This window comes from Homo sapiens, chromosome 6 (genome assembly GCF_000001405.40).
Source record: "Homo sapiens chromosome 6, GRCh38.p14 Primary Assembly".
Classification (NCBI taxonomy): Eukaryota; Metazoa; Chordata; class Mammalia; order Primates; family Hominidae; genus Homo; species Homo sapiens.
The window spans coordinates 131,940,718-131,959,570 of NC_000006.12; the positions used below are offsets into that span (position 1 = coordinate 131,940,718).

Below are 18,853 nucleotides of genomic sequence, written 5' to 3' on the forward strand. Positions count from 1 at the left end.
TGAAATATAATAGAGATTTAACAATATGTGCCAAGTTCTCTCATGCCCCCACCTCCAAAGTAACCACTACCCTGCCTTTATCACTATTTAGTTTTGCTTCCTCTTCAATTTCATATAGATGACATTATGCAGTGTGTATGCTTTTGTGCCTGACTTCTTTCACTCACCATAATAGTGCTTTTCTTTTTTATATATAAGAGATTTATTCTGAGCCAAATATGAGTGACCATGGCCCATGACACAGCCCTCAAGAGGTCCTGAGAACTTGTGCCCAAGGTGGTCTGGGGGCAGCTTGGTTTTATACATTTTAGAGCAGCATGAGACATCAATCACATCCGTTTAAGAAATACATTGGTTTGGTCCAGATGTGGAGCGGGTGGTGGGGGAAGGGGAGGCTTCCAGGTTATAGGTGAATTTAAACATTTTCTGGTTGACAATTGGTTGAGTTTGTCTCAAAACGTGGGATAGAGGCTGGGCGCAGTGGCTCACGCCTATAATCCCAGCACTTTGGGAGGCCGAGGCGGGCGGATCACCTGAGCTCAGAAGTTCAAGACCAGCCTGGGCAACATGGTGAAACCCCGTCTCTATTAAAAATACAAAAAATCAGCCTAGTGTGGTAGTGCATGCCTGTAATCCCAGCTACTCGGGAGGCTGAGGCAGGAGAATCACTTGAACCCGGGAGGCAGAGGTTGCAGTGAGTCGAGATCACGCCACTGCACTCCGGCCTGGGCGACAGAGAGAGACTTTGTATCAAAAAAAAAAAAAAAAAAAAAAGGCCTGGGATAGATAGAAAGGGAATGTTCAGGTTAAGATAAACATTGTGGAAACCCAAGTTCTTCTGAGGTCTTATAGTGGCTGCCTGTAGAGGCAAGAAGTGACAAATGTTTCCTATTCAGATCTCAGTTCATCTCTTTACGATTGGGAGAGTCTGGAAGAAAAAGATCTATCTATATTAATAGAGATTCTTTAGAGGTGCAAATTTTCCCTCACAAAGAACAACTTTGCGGGGCCATTTCAAAATATGGCAAAGAAACATGTTTTGGGGAAATGCACTTTTTAATTGATGTATATTGTTCCATTATATAAATATTCTATACTCTATCAATTTTTCTGTTTACAGAATTCAGATTTTTGCTTTCAGTTTTTGGATGGATGAAACTGCTTTGAGAATTTTGTATGTCTTTTGCTCACTTCTCTTGAATATATACCAAAGACTAAAAGTTATTGTAGTTATCTAAATTATACATGTTAACTTGCTGACAAAAATTGTGTTAGAATTTGTTGACCTAATGTAAAAGTTTTATATTCTTGCGATGCAAATTCTAATTAATCAATGGTGCTCCTCATTTCTTACTAACTCTTCTTTGACTCTCTTTTAAACATGTAATATAGAAGATGGGTCTACATGTCTATTGCTTTGAATCCTATATTTAGGTTTGGAATCTGACAGTATTTTAAGAATATATTTTACTTTGTTTATTTTGTTCTTAGTCTTAGAAACAGTCTATATATAATTAGTATGATTCATGAGGTAAGGAATAGTTATACAGAGGAAAATCGTTCACCATTTTATTTATGGTATAGAGAAATAGAGTAAAAGACAACACTGAATATACAATGAATATGGGCATTCCCTAGAGATTCGATGTGTGTTGCATGTACTCCTAGGCACGTGGCTAATTAAGATATAGTGGTTTGAATAGCTAAGTTATTTACTTATTTATGTATTGTGTATTGTTTCATCTAAATGAAAATCATAAAATACTTGAACACTTTTTGACATATTCCTTGCTGTTTTTTTAATGAGATGGAAATTTGTTTTTTAAAAAATCTCTTTCTTATAATGTATGTTCATTTCAAAAAATTTGAAAAAGTTTAAAAATTATTAAAAGAAATAGAAAATTACTTTAAAGTAACCATCATGGATGAGCACAATTGACTAAAAGATTTATTTTTTTTAAAAAAGCCATCTTTGGGTGATGTTGGGGGTTGGTAAAGATTCAGCCTGTCTTCTGAGGCACTGAGAGATGTGTAATACACACACACACAAAACGATACTGAAGTCATCAGAAAAAATTATATTTTGTATATACTGAATTAGTTCCTTATCACTCCCAGAAAATTACCAATTAGTTCTTCTTTTTAATTTTTTATTCATTGTTATTATTATTTTTGAGATGGAGTCTTTCTCTGTCCCCCAGGCTGGAGTGCAGTGGCGTGATCTTGGCTCACTGCAACCTCTGCCTCCCGGGTTTAAGCGATTCTCGTGCCTCAGTCTCCCAAGTAGCTGGGACTACAGGTACGCACCACCACGCCCGGCTAATTTTTGTATTTTTAGTAGAGACGGGGTTTTGCCATGTTGGCCAGGCTGGTCTCGAACTCCTGACCTCAGGTGATCCACCCACCTCGGCCTCCCAAAGTGCTGGGATTACAGGTGTGAGCCACCACACCTGGCCAGTTGTTCTTCTTTAACGATCATTATAAATTAATGAATGTAAGCATAGTCAATAGGCCCAATGTACTGCCTTTCTCATTCTTATTAAAACTCAATTGTGTCATCTTTAGTTGGAGTCTCTTCAATTTGTCTCCAGAGTTTTTTTTATATGATCTTAATGGCATCTGTTAACTTCCTTATTATCTAATGTGAAAAGATGTTCTAAACATAAATGAATTTATCTTACACATTTCTTGCCCCAGACTTGGAATCACTCATTCTCCAAGAAGTCCTAATATTCTTTAGTAGAAAGTAATATTTCAAGTGTAAAATCTGGGCCTAGTGATATTCACTGGTCTTGAGTTGTCATTCTAACTAAGCCTCTTATGTAGGCAGATGTAGGGGGAAAAATTGTGTGTGTGTGTGTGTGTGTGTGTGTTTTAAAAGACAAAATACCTCACGAATTTATGCTTATATTTCCAGTTCAAATTCTGGACTACAGAACTTTCCTTAGCAGTTTTCCATTATATCTCTAATTTCTGACTTTCTCACTGAGAATTTCAGTACTCATGAATGCTGGGGATAGAGTTAGAACATTCATGATGGCTAATTTGCTTTCTTACACATTCCACACCTAACATTCCCAGAATAACAATATTAATACCACCACTATCACTAAAAGCAGTTAAATTGTTTTTGGCGGGGAAGGCATATGCTATCTCCATTCTCTCTTCCACTTTGTATGGTTGTACTCTATGGTGTCAGAGCAGATATCCCTACTCTGTATGCTTTTGTGCCTGGCTTCAATTTGTTTCCCTAATCCTTTTGATTTGATCTTAATGACATTTGTTAACTTCCTTATTATCTAATATATATGCAAATAAATATATATGCCAATAAATATATGCAAATAAACAGGCAGAAATGTTCTACTTTTTACACTGTATACAGTACTTTCTCCTTTTTAACCTTCATTCAGTCTTAGTTCTAAAGGTGAGCTATATTCAATTCTCACTACAGTCCTTAGGTTAGTATCTCTCAGACATTTGTGTTGTTTGAGCTTGTTTGCTAGTAGGTTCCTCAGCAAGGGCTCACAGGAAAAATATGCCCTGAGTTCTTGTGTGTTTTTAACAGTTTGTCTGTGTCCTTCCTGTTCATTGCAGCACTATCCACGATAGCTAAGTTATGGAATCAACCTAAGTGTCCATCAACAGATGGATGGGTAAAGAAGATGAGGTATATATACACAATGGAGTACTATTCATTAAAAAAGAAGGGAATCCTGTCATTTGTGACAACAGGGATGAACCTAGTCATTCAAGGTTTGATTTCAAGAATCAAGTCATTCTTGAAAATCAGTTTTAGAGGATAAAAGTTTCTTGACTCTCATTTTCTTTCCTTAAGTATCTTAAATAAGTTATTCCATTTTTTTCTGTCATAAAGTATTGCTGTAAAAAAAATCTAACGATGAGCTAATTTTCTTTTTATTTATAAGGCTCATGTTCTTTTTGTCTTCATGTTCAAATAGCTTTTCCCTTTTCTTTAAACTCCAGCAGTTTTACTAGAATGTGTTTTGCTGTTAGTTGATTTGTTTAGGCACATGGCACACCCTTTCAACTTGTGCTTTCAAATACTTTTTTATTCTAGTAAAGTTTTTTTTGACTTATAGCTTTTAGGATTTTTTTTTCTTCTTTAAGAATTTCTACCCTCCACATATTGGATTTTCTTTGCCTGTCCACAATATTTATTACTTTTTATTGCAATATGTTTATTTCTTCTTTTATATTTAAACTTGTTTTCTTATCTGTAAGAGTATATTCACTCTTATGCTCCTTGTAGTTTGATATAGTTCCTTTATTTCTAAATCTCTGTTGATTTCTGAAACTATATTTTTAAGTTTTGCTAATTCTGATTTATGTTGCTATTTTATGTCATCATTTCCTTACTATTAATATCATTTATGTCCAACATCATTTTCTTAAACTTTTGAAATAGTAGGTTATAATTTTTCTATATTTTGTAGATATGTATTTCTCACATTTTTTATTATCTGCAGAAAAGTTATTCTATTCTTTATTTTCTTTTTTTAAATATAGTGACTTTGTAGGGATTTGGCTTCAATAATTTTGTTTTCTTAATTTATATAAAATTAGTTTTACTAAAGTTTGCTCAGGAAGGAGGTTTGGTTTAATTTTCTAAATTCACAGACCTCCCTCTTTTATTGTTTTCATGCAGCATTAAAAATATTGCAGTTTACCTTCTGAGATTTTAAACCTCTGTTTCCCTCCTCATTTTAATCCAAATCCTTCAATGTCTCTGTTGTCCCTGACCCACTCAATTTTTATTTTGTTTTATTTTATATTGACAAAGTCCTAATTTATCATGTAAAACATGATGTTTTGAAGTATATTTACATTGTGGCATGACTAAATCTAGCTAATTAACATATGCATTACCTCATAGAGTTAGCGTTTTTGTGCTAAGAACACTTTACAACCATTCTCTTTGCATTTTTCAAGAATAGAATGTATCATTAACTAGAGTCATCACATTGTAAAATAGATCTCTTGAACTTATTCTTATTGCCTAAGTGAAATTTTATATTTTTTGACTAACATCTCCCCAACTTTCCTGCCTAACCCCAATCCCCTAGTAACCATCATTCTACTCTCTACTTCTATGAGGTCAACCTTTTAGATTCCACATATGAGTGAGATAGTGCTATATTTCTCTTTCTGTAACCTGGCTTATTTCACTTAACATAATGTACTCTAGGTTCATCCATGTTGCCACAAATGACAGGATTCCCTTCTTTTTTAATGAATAGTACTCCATTGTGTATATATACCTCATCTTCTTTATCCATCCATCTGTTGATGGACACTTAGGTTGATGCTGTAACTTAGCTATTGTGGATACTGCTGCAATGAACATGGAGGTGCAGATATCTTTTCAACATACTGACTTCTTTTTCATTGAGTGTATACCCAGTAATGGGATTGCTATATCATATAGTAATTGTATTCTTAATTTTTTATGGAACTTTCTGTTTTTCATAATGGCCGTACTAATTTACATTCCTGCCAACAATGCACAGGGTTTTTTTTCCTCCACATCCTTGCTGACAGTTTTGTTATCTTTTGTTTTTTTGATAGTAGCCATTTTAACAGGTGTGAAGTGATAGCTCATTGTGGTTTTGATTTGCATTTCCCTGATGGTTAGTAATGTTGAACATTTTTTCATATACTTGTTGGCCATTTGTGTGTCTTCTTTTGAGAAACATCTGTCTGGTGACCTGCTCAATTTAGATTCCACTTCCAGGAGTATGAGGATCTTCTCCTGGGAGGCAGCCCTGGCTTGTAAGCTTTGTTGGAGTGCTAGGCCAAACCCCTACTAGATTCAACAGCTGCTGTCAGCCTGGCCTTCTATATATCTAGTGACTACCTGCTGGCTGTTTGAGAGCTCTCGTGTTCTCAGAAGCATCAGATACCTTGTTGTTTCTCTGCTTTTCTCACACATGTGCTGACACGGTGCAGATCTTACGGTGGTTGATGATTTGGCACCCCCTACCTCCGATATTTGGGGGGTGAAAGTGTGCATTGCCATCTAATTTTTGTAGAAACATTGCCTGTGGGATTTTTGTTTTGCAATCTAGTGACTCTTTTTTTTTTCTTTAATGTGGGTATTTGGAAAATGTGAAATCTATGCTTTTCCTGCTGCTTCTATATTTCCAGAATGCTCTAATTCAGTAGTCAGTCTCGTTTATCATGCATGGCCCTTCATCTTTGCAGTTAGGAATTAATTGACAGAAAGGAAGTGTGAACTAACAGTGTACTCTGTGTGTGTGCCTATGTGTATGTGTACATGCGCATTTATTTGGGGAGGTGGGGTGCTGCTCCTGGCAGCACTGCTATATACAGATGTGGGTGTATCCTTAAAGCCCAGAGTTTTGACCATAAATTTTCACATTCTGAACACGGGAAGTTTTCCCTTTGGTTTGTGGTGTGGACAGTTGTTTGTAGAGCTAGTCTTTATTTTCAGGTGTATTTTTGTCTGTCCAAATGACATTGGCACTACAACGTTGCTAATTACCTTGGGAAAAGTTAGTCTGTCTGCAATTTTTTTTTCCCCTAGAATCCTCAGCTATCCTCATGTGGAGAAGATTCTAGTTGCCTTTGGTGTATTGCTTTTGTTTACCATTCACTTTGGTTCACTCTTTAGTAAAAACCTACCTGGGTAGGTACAATATTGTTTCCACATGAGGCTTCTTGAACAATTCCATTTTCTCATGTATAAACCACTTGGTAAGGTAGGATGCATTAATCTGGAAGTCTGATAAAGCTAAAGACTTGGGCAAATGGAGGAATTACTTTCAAAACAAATTTCTATTAATGTTAATGAATGGAAGATTTGCTCATCCTCCCTTTTCTATTTATGCCATCTGTTTGTCATTGGTTATCATGGCAACCAAAAACGGAATTATACAAAACAAGACTTATGAAATAGCTCCATTTAAATGAGGATTTCATTTCATAATTTTCAGATTTAACAGTAAGGTAATGAAGTTCAGAAACAGACCTAGAGCATAAAATTTTTAAAAAATGTAAACATTTTCCACGTGCAAGGCACATAGACTAGTTTGTGATGTGAAGGGTTGGAAACTAACCTATAACGGCCAGAGAGGTACAAATGCCAAAAGGACCAAGTGTAATACAACAGGGTTAATGGAGACTGAAGTAATCTAGAGAGAATTGAATTTAAAGTGTCTATAAAGTTCTGTGAAGATAACAAAAAAAATGGCTGTATAGTCAATGTGGTGTGTATGCCTGCAAGTCTGTGATACTTGATTCAGTGTGAAGTATGTTTACATAAAAATTCTATGGAATAATCAATTTATTAATGTATAGAATAATTAAAGATATTTAGAAAATTATTGGTGAATTATCTTATGATTAATAAGAACTTCCTATTTATGCTCAAGAAAACTCAGAAATGTTTAGAAGGATAAATGAATAACCAAGCCCTTTATAGAAAAAATATACACTTTATTTTCAACTAGAAAGGTGCAAACATGTAACTTTTGGTCACACTCTCAACAAATAAACTGTCCGAAAAACAGTCATATCAAAGTAGAAACAAATGCTTCCAGGTGAAAAAACTGATCAGCTATATAGAGTCACTCAGTTTTTAATAAAGGCCATTTGTTCATTAAAAGTGAGGCTACCACATTTCCTACCTAGAAATCAGCCTGCCAAGGACACTGATGCCTCCCCTTTGCAAACAATCTGTTTTGACGGACTGTCATTCTATCTGAGCAGAATTTCCATATAAGTATCCATTTCATGCTTTGAACGATCAGACAAGCTTTACATTCTACCTATGGTGTTCAGAAATTGAGGCTAACATTGAAATATCAAAGCATTAAAAACAAAAATAAAAAGGCACAAACAACTTTAAATTAACTTAGATAACTGTACATATATATATATATACACACACACACACACACACAATATTTACAATATAAATTTTAAAAAATCTGGCTTGTTACAGGCAAATTCACTTGCCACAAGCTGTCCAGTCTAATCGACAGGATTCCGATTCCTGAACAGTGTCATTCGAATCAGAATGTCAGAGCTGAGTCTGCTGTTCTGACTTAAGGAACAACTTGACTCAGTCTCTTGATGGCTGGAGAATGCACATCCTAGCTGTCACTGGGGCTACAGGCAGGTCAGTGAGCACGCTAAAATTTTCCTTCTCAATTACACTTCAAATAGCAGGCATATTACTCGTATAAGATGCTATCTGATGATACTAACCTTTCTGCTGGTACCCTCCCACTGCTCCTAAAGCCACACCTTAATATACATTCTGGTGCTGTGTACTAATGTAGTTCCACTGTCAAGTCTTAACATTCTTCAAACCAGTGTCTGGGGTTGATAGACTATTTGTTTGACATGGCACAATGTTTTGAATTGGGTGGGAATCTTTTCCCCCAGTTAGAAAAACAGATTTAAATAACTTGTGCTACTGAAATCATTTTTACGGAAAAATGAGATGTGAATCAGTTCAAGTTCCAGTCTAATGAGTTAATGTCTCTCACTCTCTGGCTTCATGCCATGTCTCCGTACATCTTCCTGTAGTACAGCGATTCAAAGATGTCATTGTCTCCGGGACAGTTGTAATGGCAGGCACAGGTCTTGATGAACATCATGTTCTTCTTCATGACCTCGCCGTCAGGGCACTTGAACTCCACCGGCAGGGTGGTGGTTCTGTGGGGGGTGCAGCATCGGCCGTCGGTACATACTCCACAGAATTTAGCTCGGTATGTCTTCATGCTGGTGCAGCCAGAAAGCTCAAACTTGATAGGCTTGGAGATTTTGGGAGTACGGATGCACTTTTTGCCCTTCTAAGGAAGACAAGGGAAAAGAGAGAGGAAAAAAAAAAATCAGCGACTCTACAAGAGGAGTGGCTTTCTTCAACCCTCTGTGTTTTAGTCTTCTGTTGTCTGACTTCTGTTTATATTTTGAGGGGAGGAAGTTTGAGTCTCATTTGCTATGTCCAAAAATAGCCAGAGCCTCTCTTGGAATGTCTTGAATTAACTAACCCTGTGGAAGATTTCGTAGTGGAAAACTGGTGGTTGCTATTACACAAGCTCTCATTCCAGCAAAACAGCTCAATGGTTAGATAGTTTTGGAGATAACGGGCTTATACTAACAAGCGTGGCAAGAGCCCTAAGTTGGGTCCTATCCACTGTTTTTCCTGTGAAAAATAGTTAATAGGAGCAGAACATGTACCTTAATGTTCTCTTCCAGGTCAGCTTCGCAAGGCCTGACCATGCACAGGCGGCTCTGCTTCTCTAGCCTGCAGGAGGCGTTGTCATTGGTAACCCGGGTGGAGATGCCCATCCCACAGGTCTTGGAACAGGCGCTCCACTCTGTGGTCTGGACCAGGCAGTTGGCTCTAATCATAGTTGGGTCTGGGCCAAACGTGTCTTCCAGTCGGTAAGCTGCGAGAGCAGAGCACACAAACACCATGTAAAACGCCTGGATAAGGTATTTCCCCCGTTCGGTCGGCACAGTTAGGACTCCCTCCCTGGGAGAGAATCACGACCCTGACTTAGAGGAAGACTCGACTCACCCGCGAGGGCAGGCCCAACCACGGTTTGGTCCTTGGGCTCGTCACACACCCACTCCTCGCAGCATTTCCCGGGCAGCTTGACCCTCCTCGGGAAGGGGCAGTCAGGGCTGGGCAGACGAACGTCCATGCTGCACAGGGGCATGCAGCCCACCGCCCCGTCCAGGCACGTGCACTGGTACTTGCAGCTGCTCTGGAAGGACTCTCCGCTGCGGTACACCGTACCACCGAAGATGCAGGGAGCACCATCTTTGGCTGGAGAAGAGGAAGGGAAGAGAGGGGTGGGGGATGCAGAGGTCAGGCATTGGGGCACTCTCACATCCAGAGCGTCAGGGATGCGAGTTGGGATCTGGGCTGCAGGGGGCGGGCTGGCAGCAGCTGGAGAAAGAAACTCAGTCCGAGCGGTTTCTTTTTCCAGCGGGCGGGTGGGCGTGAGGGAGGAGGCGGCCGGACACCTAGCGGTGGGGGCTGCGGGTCTTACCGGTGCACACGCCGATCTTGCGGTTGGCCGGGGAGCCGAAGTGACAGAATAGGCCCTTGTGCGGGTCGCATGGGTCGCGCTCGGTGCACAGCTCGCCCAGCTGCTTGGCGCAGACGCGGCAGCAGCCGCAGCCGTCCAGCACGAGGCTCACGCCCGCCGGGCAGCGCGGCGCCGGCTCGTCCGGGCACCGGCACGGCCCGCTGCAGTTCTGGCCGACGGCCGGCTGCAGGGAGGACAGGGCGGTCAGCGGCGCTCGGTCGGCGCGCACGCCCTCCCCGGCCGGCCCCGAGTCCCTCCCTGGCAGCCGCCGGCCGCAGCGGGGGCTCCCGGCGCTTACCCGGCTGCAGAGGGCGAGGAGGACCACGAAGGCGACGCGGACGGGGCCCATACTGGCGGCGGTCATGGTTGGCACTGCGGGCGGAGCGGAGGGCGCGGTGGCGGCGAGCGGGGAGCGGCGGGGCCTGGAGCGCTGGCGGTGGTCGGAGGTGGGGACCGGGACGCGCCGGGCTGTCGTCTCGGGGCTGTCGGCCGGGGCGGCTGCCGTCGAGCTGGAGGGTGGAGTCGCACTGGCTGTCTCCTCTCAGCGGGGAAGAGTTGTTGTGTGAGTTTGGGGCGGGCGGCCCGAGGCTTTTATACGCTCCGGGCGGCCGCGGCTCGCCAATGAGCTGAATGGAGTCCTACACAAACAGGGACATTCCTCGCATTCCTCCCCACCTTCCTGCCTCATCAACTCACACCGGATTGATCCTGACCCCTTGACACTCAGCATTCCTCCGTCTGAAAAAGCTGGCACACTCCAGCTCACAGAAAAAAAAAAAAAGGAAAAAAAAAAGCGCAGTATTTCCAGCACCAAATAGAATTTTTTTTTCCCTATCCTCTTCGCACCACTCCTGATTCATATCATTTATAAACACACTGGCAATTATTTCTTATTTCTTTTTCGAATAAGTTTGCCCTGTTCTGTCCACTGACATACATCCTTTTTAGGAAGTAGGTAGCTGAAGAGGCAAACAGCAGGAATTCCTAAAAAATTCGAAAAGGTTTCTCCCCCCCAACCCTTAGCAATGATTTGCGTTTTAGAGGCTATAGGCTCTTGAAACTCTCCAAAGAGTAGAAAAGGAGTGAGTTGCTTTTAACCATTTGAAATCCTCAAGATGCCTACCTGTAAAACCCTGAATTCTATATTTGAGATTTGATCATTTGTCACTTGAGGTAACGGTTTTGGGACAAGAAAGAGAACAAAGACGCGTGTGACTCAGGATGCAGTCTCCTGGGGCAGATTTCCAAAACTCTTGCTTAGTTTTCTCTTAATATATGTAGGAGTTTTATATAGGCAAGGACAAGGGAGGAGTGGCCATCAATGTTTCCAGAAAAAGGGATCCATTGTTCTATCAGAGCAAATGATTCTGTGTTGGGTAGGTAGGGGCTCTGGGTGTCAGGGTGGGAACACTGGGATGCAAAGGGGGTTCACCTAGGAGCATTTAAACACAGCTTCACTAGGGTCTTTGAGAAATGAGTGCATTTTCTTATATTAAAACCTATAATCTTCAAATGTGGATTGGATTTGGTTTGTCTTGTTAAAATAAGAAGTCTGATTCCATTACAAGAGCAGTGTACCCTGTTGTATCTGGATATAAACTAAGATTGACAGTGAATAATATATTTTTAGTGACTCCCCACACATCTATGAATAGTGATTGTGACTTCTCATTACCCAAGGAACATGCAGCCTGAGGGAGTGAGGTCAGGACAAGGAAAGAATAGGCTTTATTCTCCCTGGGTGTGTGCAGATGTTGAATATGGCCAATAAACCTAAGCATATCTCCATTTCTTAATATAGTGCTACTTAGCTTCACTAAAGACCCAACTAATTCACTGTGCTTTCATTTGGAATCTATGTTGTTTAGTGGCTTTTTTGTTAATACCTCCAGTTCCCATTTTATATAAAGAGAGTGATTCTAGGGCCATACCATTTTTGTATTCTGTAATGCCGCATCATTTGACATTGGTGTTACCAATGAGTAGATTCCTTTAAGTTGTTGATGCTTCAGAGCATGGGTTCAAGATAAGCATATCTGTTTGTGGTGCAAAGATCGGCTTTAGAAACAATGCATTATAGATTTATCATTTGAAAACAGCCTGTTTAAACTGATCAAATTTTTAAAGTTTCAGTACAGTCTGTTGAAAAATAGCCAAGAAGAAATATAACCACTCCAACTTCAGCATAGAGCATATCATCTGTGCACGATTACCTCGTTAAGCCAGCCACATGTTATAGAGTGTAGTTGCATGTCAATAGTGTGAATGGCCAGCAAAGGGGTGGGGGTGCCCTCTGAAGCTCAGGAAGAATTTTCGTCATTGTTATTTAATGTCCTTTCCAAGCATTCCTCAAAAAGAAGAGGCCTAAGAGTTCCTATTTAAAGAAGGAACATTCCAAGTTAACTTAATAGCCACATGTGTATTAAAGGCAACTTGGCCCTCAACTTTTTCTTCCCTTGTGGATGATTTTAAAAGTCCAAAATATGTGGGAAGCCACAGTGAAACCTTTCAAGACCTAAACCCCCAATTACATCTACCTCTAATGGTTGGAAAGGTGTGGTGGCTGGGGAAGGGTAGGGATGTGCAGTGCGAGTCTCACCTAAGGTGGGATGTGGGCTTGGTGGTGAGCTCTCCTAGCTTGCAGAGTGAGGTAGGTGGGAGAAGGGTTGGGGAATTTCTGAATCCTCAGGAGAGTCTGAAAGCTACCACCATCTTCATGCCTGCAGCAGGGAGACTCATTCATGGAGGGGATAAATTGTTGTACTGGGTTATAGTTAGATGGCCTAGGTTGTATTCTTGGAACTGCCTTTCGCAGATCTCAGGGAAGTCACACGTAGGAGCCATATTCCCATTTCTGTTTAAAAAATGAAAGTAATCATAATTTTTTTAATTTAATAGGGTTCAGTGAGGGCTGAGTAGATGAAAATTCCAGGGAATTGGTGCTTTATTTTTTTCAGATTTTCTTGATTTTTTTTCAATCTCTGTGTATAATAAGTATATTACCATTCTGCTCTGTTGTTAAAAATGTCAAAAGAAAGAATTTGGTTTTACTATAAAATTCTCATAGTCCCTCGAAGTCTCAAAAAAATCTATAGTCAGTTCCAAATAGATGATTTTAATGTTGCTTAAGAGGAAATAAGCATATTGAAATATATAGAACATATGAAATCTCAGGAAAGAAAAAGTTTCTGTGCATTATCAGGTTAGATTGAGGCTTTATGATCAAAACTCTTTTTGAAGGAGTTAAAAGACTATTATTAAGAGAGTGACACAGAGACAGACAGACACATACATGCACACACACCCAGAGAGAGAGAGAATGAGAGAAGACACCCAAGACATTCACAGACTCAGAAGTATGTTTTTATTGTGATATGGACCATCAAATGCCAGGAAACTCAAAGGGAAAGGCTGATACTCCATCCATAATTCATGCCATGGGATCTGAATTCTTGCACTATTATCAATGACTCAGCAAATGTTTGTGTGTGCCTGGGCGGTAAAGTGGGAAATAGTGGCTTCTTATAACTTCATCCAACTTTGACTTACCCCAGCCCCTTTGATTGACAGCAGGTCAGAGTTGGGAGAAAAAGATCTTTGAATTTGTGTGCAAAATGGTTAAGATGCACTAATTTTGACTTGTAAGCAAGTATTTATCTAGCAAATGCTTTTTAGAGAGCATTTTTTCCTCGTGGTAAAATGAGGAATTAACTAAGCTGGCCACTGAGTCCTGTTTACCAAGCTATATAAGGTATGTGTGTGTGTCTACTAGGGCATCATTTGTACTGGTCGTTTGGTTAAGTCTTGTAAGATGTTCAGCTGTGGATGTATTACATTCCTTCCCTTAAGTTTTTTGTTGTTTTTTCCTCCCTAAAAAAAAAAGGTTTCTTGATCAGGTATCAGACACAGAGAAAACCTGGCAGGACTACAGAAAAGTGGCCAGAGTTGGAGTGTTTGTGTACTTAAAGAAGGAATCTTGCACATTTTCAACTTTTAGTTGTAGACATTTTCTTATAAGAGCAAGTAGGAGTCAGTGCCAGCCCTCAAAGCGGAAATCAAAGCTCCCAGGGAAACATGCCGGAGGAATGTGACTCAGAGCCAAGACCCATACGCAATGCATACACGGAGCTGTCAGACTTATAGGAGGAAGTCTGGCCGTATATGGGCATCTGGACAGTGAGCGATTTGTCCTTATGGTGGGTCAGGGGGAGGTTTCTGATGTTTCTAGCGTGCCTCAAATTCAATCATGTAAATTAATTCTACAAAAAAAAATGGTATCCCAGAAGCCTTTTGTAAAATAGTAATAAATATTATTCTGAAATCTTCAGGGACCCTGGTTTGGCTGACATGACCTCCTGTTTGCTTAAGATGAAGGTTAAGGAGAGGGCGTACTTGCTGGGAGTTCATGGCGGGGAAGATAAACGCGGATGTTTACTATCTAAATTACATTCATTACCTTCATGCCTTTTCCTCCTTATAATTAGTTCTCTGACTTTCTTAGGATATTTTCTAATGCAAAGGTATTTGTCAGAAGGCAGTCAAGGCCGTTGCATGTGGTTTGTGTTTTATGTTTGCCTGTTCCTCGCTTGTCCATAGAGTTGGAGGCCAGAGGGGTGAGAAAGGAAGTTTTGTTTTGTAAGATGATATCCCTTCAACTTACTGTTTGTTTCACTTATTTTGTTAATTTGACTCTTTTTTTTTTTAAAGTAGTTTACTTAGAATCCTGTGTTGCCTCTAGTCAGCTTTTGTTCATCTAAGATAGTGTCAGATGAGGATGCTGCTAGGTAGGAATGAGCCTGGTGGTCTCTTACACTGTCCTCGACAGGTTAGAATCTCAAATTCATCACCGTTTAGCAACCAGGAGTATTTACAGCCCCTTGCTTCATCAGGGCTAAATGTGAAGCATCCCCTTGGTGATACTTAAGGTGATATTTAAGTGAGTGGGAATGAAAAACAGAGGAAATAAGCATTTCTTAAGATGTGTGATTTGGGGACACCCAATCAATAGGTTTAGGAGGAAGAGAGAATTGGGACTAGCTATCTTATCTCAAATAATAGAAGTAAGTGAAAGGATAAATATTTTGAAAGGACTAGTGTGAAATATACATGAATGTATTCCTAGGGATTCTGCTGCGGGGTGGGAAAGGGGTGCAGATTAAGCCAGACCCCATCATTCATCCCTGGAAATGTGCTCCCACCTCTAGCCAAGAGGCCTGAGGTCCCTTCTCACAACTTCAAACTCCCTGGAATACCATTAGGTGGAGCCTAGGGGACTGGCTAGGAGGTGAAGGTGTGAGCTCCATACCTGCCATTTGCTTGCCAGTGACCTCAGGGAAGACACCTACTCTCTCTGAGCCTGAAATTTCCCACCTGTTCACAGTTAATGTGCAGCTCAAGGAGACAATATTTATGAAAGCACTTTCATAAAGGTATTAGAGTTTTAAAATTGCCCTTCTCTTCCATTCTTCAGTGGCTCTCAAAACTAAGCCCAACTCAGATTGACTGTAAAAGCCTGTCACAGTTTGATTTTATAACAGTGTCCAGCTCTGCATGGGTTTTAGAGTGTTAAAACTAGGTGAGAGCTCAGAGAAAATCAAATCCTACCTCTTATTTATTTATTTATTTTATTAGATTAGATATTCAGGATTGATAGAGACATTTAACAAATGAAAACTTTTTTTCTTTTTGAAATAGGGTCTGGCTCTGTCTCCCAGGGTGGAATGTAGTGCCATGATCTTGGCTCACTGCAACCTCTGCCTCCTGGGCTCAAGTGATCTTCCTGCCTCAGCCTCCCAAGTAGCTGGGATAGCTGGGACTACAGGTGTGCACCACCATATCCAGCTAATTAAAAGAATTTTTTTTTTTTTTTTTGTAGAGATGGGGTTTTGCCATGTTGCCCAGGCTGGTCTCGAACTCCTGAGCTCAAGAGATCAGCCCATCTCAGCCTCCCAAAGTGCTGGGATTACAGGCGTAAGCCCCTGCGCCGGGCCACAGATGAAACTTTTAAATTTGTCTTATGCTTCTTATATACCTTATATTGTCACTTCGATGATAATGTGGGCATGCATTTTAATCATAGTTTTCAGGATACCTAAAACAAAATTCTATGCTCAGCTTATTTTTGTCACCTGATAGCATCTACTCCCTTCATCTTCATTATATGTTCATAGTTTTCATTGATTTGTGGAGGATGGGGAGAGTTAGGGAGTTCCTAACAGTCTTCCTTTCTTCAGTGAAAAATGTGTAACTTATCACTAATAAGAATATGGTATGCAAATGATAAAGAAACAACCAAAAAATTATGATTGCTTGTGTCCATCACATTTTCTTTAGATTTGTATTTCTTGGAAACCAAGGTGGTATTTTACTTAATGTGATGCTACAGACTTTAACACTTTACATATATTTGGGTTGACAGTTTTCTTTCATTTCATTTTGTAATGTGAACTGTGCTACCATGATGGTGACAAGTTTTCAAATTAAAAGCAAACTTGGTAGCCAGTATGTTCTAGAATGCTAAAAACCAAGTTGTTTGAATCATCCAAAGAGTTTCTAAACTATTTTCCTGTGTGTAAATCTTTAAATAACCATGCCTATGGGAATCATATATTAAAATCTGAGCACCTGGATAAGGCTTTTTGAGAAGGTATCTTATCTTCTAAGTCAGAACTTTCACCACATATGAAGAAAAACCACATTCTATTTAAAATCCTGACATCATCAGATTTGAAGTAAAAGTCAACTAATGCATTGTTTAATTTGATGTTAGAATGCACGATGCCAATTTTATCTGAACAATTTAGCGGGAACGCTTCTTAGAACTCTATCTGGGTGCCTAAAATAGATACTCAAAATTTTGACTGCATTCTCTTTTGTTTATGTAGAAATTTTTAATTTACAAAGCCCTTTCACGGTTACCATCTTACTTCATTATCATAACAATCGCATTAGGTATTATTCTACCCATATTGCAGGTGAGGAAATTGAGGTCCAATAATGCTAACATACACAAGCCTGGTTAGAGGTGGAGAAGGGACAAGTGAATTTAAATTCAGTTCTTCTAAAGAGAACACCCCTTGCCTTTCCTTCCAAACTTCACGGCTTCTTTTCTTTCCATTCTATATATGGTGATCTCTAAACACTGTGTGTCCTTAAGATAGTTATCTCAGATCTTAAACTCTTAAAGGACACACCCTAGAAGGCATATAAACACCTGTGGGCTAACTGGCAGTCACTATTGTATTGTGCCGTGGTCTGAGATAAACATGAAGTAGAAAGAAAATGTTTACTGACCTGTATTAGTAGAGAAATTTGGGCTTAGATTTGCTTTTTTTTTTTTTTTTTAACAATTAAGATTTTGGTGATGTTGCTATGTAGACAGATATGTTCTTCTTATCCGCTAACTAACTGATGCAGCTAAAAAAGGAAAAAATGAATAAGATGATGGGTATGCTTTGGGAGGCTTAATATCAGGGTGTGCTCTGCTCTGATGTCAGCCTCAGCCCACACTGAAAGCGTTCAGTCTAACCCTATGCAGTCTTGTTTCGGCTGAGACTGGGACCAACCATAGACATCATGAAGGTCTTCTTGAATAATTGTATCATTCACTGATAAGCTACCCTTAGGGATAAATATCATGACAGAGTCTGGGACAAACCATCAGCACTGAAGCAATGTCTACTATCAACATAGGTTTTTCACGAGTATCCCCTAATAAACATGTCCTGCCATGTTATTGATATTTATTTTATGAACTTGCCTTAACTGAAAATGCACTTTCCTCAAACTGAATATGCTTTGCCTTTCAGGTTTACAGCTTTCTCCCTCTCTCCTTTAACCATGGAAGGATTTGATTGGAATCATAACTAGTTTCATGTTGTTAATGGAATGCGATTTGTCATAACTACACATGGCAGAGAGAGAGGGTTGTCTAGGAATGGTGGGGTTATGATGAGGGAATTTTCTTATTGACCTGCACATGTGTGTGAAAGTTAACAACTACAGGATTACATTTCATATAACCATTGACTTGCTCATGTCTGGAAATAATATCACTATTAAGCTATTTCTCATATACAGATGATAAAAACTTATTTTGTCCAATTGAATCTTTTGTGGCATTTTCATCATTTCTAACGTCTCTATGTTGGTTCTTCTTGATTGTGGTTTTCCCTGCTGTTTCCGTATTTGACTGATTGCTGAGGCTCCTACTATTTGCTTTCAGCTCAGAAGGTAAGCAAGCAAACTTCCAGTCCAGTTTCAGATGGACTTTGAACCAATGTTGCTTTGCAGTAGGGCTGAGCACTGCCACAGTCAAATGTATCCTCCCTGGTTGGCTTTGATCGCTTTCGAGGCAGGCCCATCCCTCATGGGTCAAGCTGGTTTTTCCTTGTCAGCTTCTGAAGCCTCCCCGAGAGGGGGGACCCACAGTGTGGTGTTACCACTTTTCTCTCATGTGTTCTCATTTTACACACTGAAGCCTGGCCTTCATCTAAAGTGAACTCGAGAAGTCCAAACTCCTGTATTTCTCATGCATCATATCCAACTTTCCAAGAAGGGAAAATGACCTTATGTTGAGCAGAAACGGCCATCTGGAAGCCATTTTGTCTACCGTAAGCGCCAAGGACGAGGAGAATTCTTAGACCCTGCATGTGAGGGCAGGAGGCCACAAGGCAGAAGCCACTCACCAAATGTATTTATGTCATAGCTACATCACCTGGCATCCTTTACTAAAGTGTTGCAGGGGGTCATTTTACTTGGAC

At 40.1% G+C, this 18,853-nt stretch overlaps 1 protein-coding gene and 1 long non-coding RNA gene across 5 annotated transcripts in view; one reads left to right on the forward strand and one right to left on the reverse strand.

Moving 5' to 3' along the window:
• Positions 1-18,853, forward strand: part of CCN2-AS1 (CCN2 antisense RNA 1) — a 200,374-nt gene that overhangs the window by 38,766 nt on the left and 142,755 nt on the right. The gene's annotated exons all lie outside the window — the stretch shown is intronic.
• Positions 7,459-10,655, reverse strand: CCN2 (cellular communication network factor 2). Its single transcript, NM_001901.4, has 5 exons — positions 10,390-10,655; positions 10,053-10,275; positions 9,575-9,826; positions 9,232-9,443; positions 7,459-8,843 (listed from the first exon to the last, which is right to left on the reverse strand). The coding sequence occupies exons 1-5, from the start codon at positions 10,453-10,455 to the stop codon at positions 8,547-8,549; spliced, it is 1,050 nt and encodes a 349-aa protein (NP_001892.2). The 5' UTR covers positions 10,456-10,655; the 3' UTR covers positions 7,459-8,546.

Coding starts and splice junctions, on each gene's coding strand:
- CCN2 (NM_001901.4), bottom strand. CDS start 10,455: ATGACCGCCGCCAGTATGGGCCCCGTCCGCGTCGCCTTCGTGGTCCTC. Junction 10,276..10,389: donor TCCTCGCCCTCTGCAGCCGG/GTAAGCGCCGGG, acceptor TCCTCCCTGCAG/CCGGCCGTCGGCCAGAACTG. Junction 9,444..9,574: donor GGTTGGGCCTGCCCTCGCGG/GTGAGTCGAGTC, acceptor CTGCTCTCGCAG/CTTACCGACTGGAAGACACG.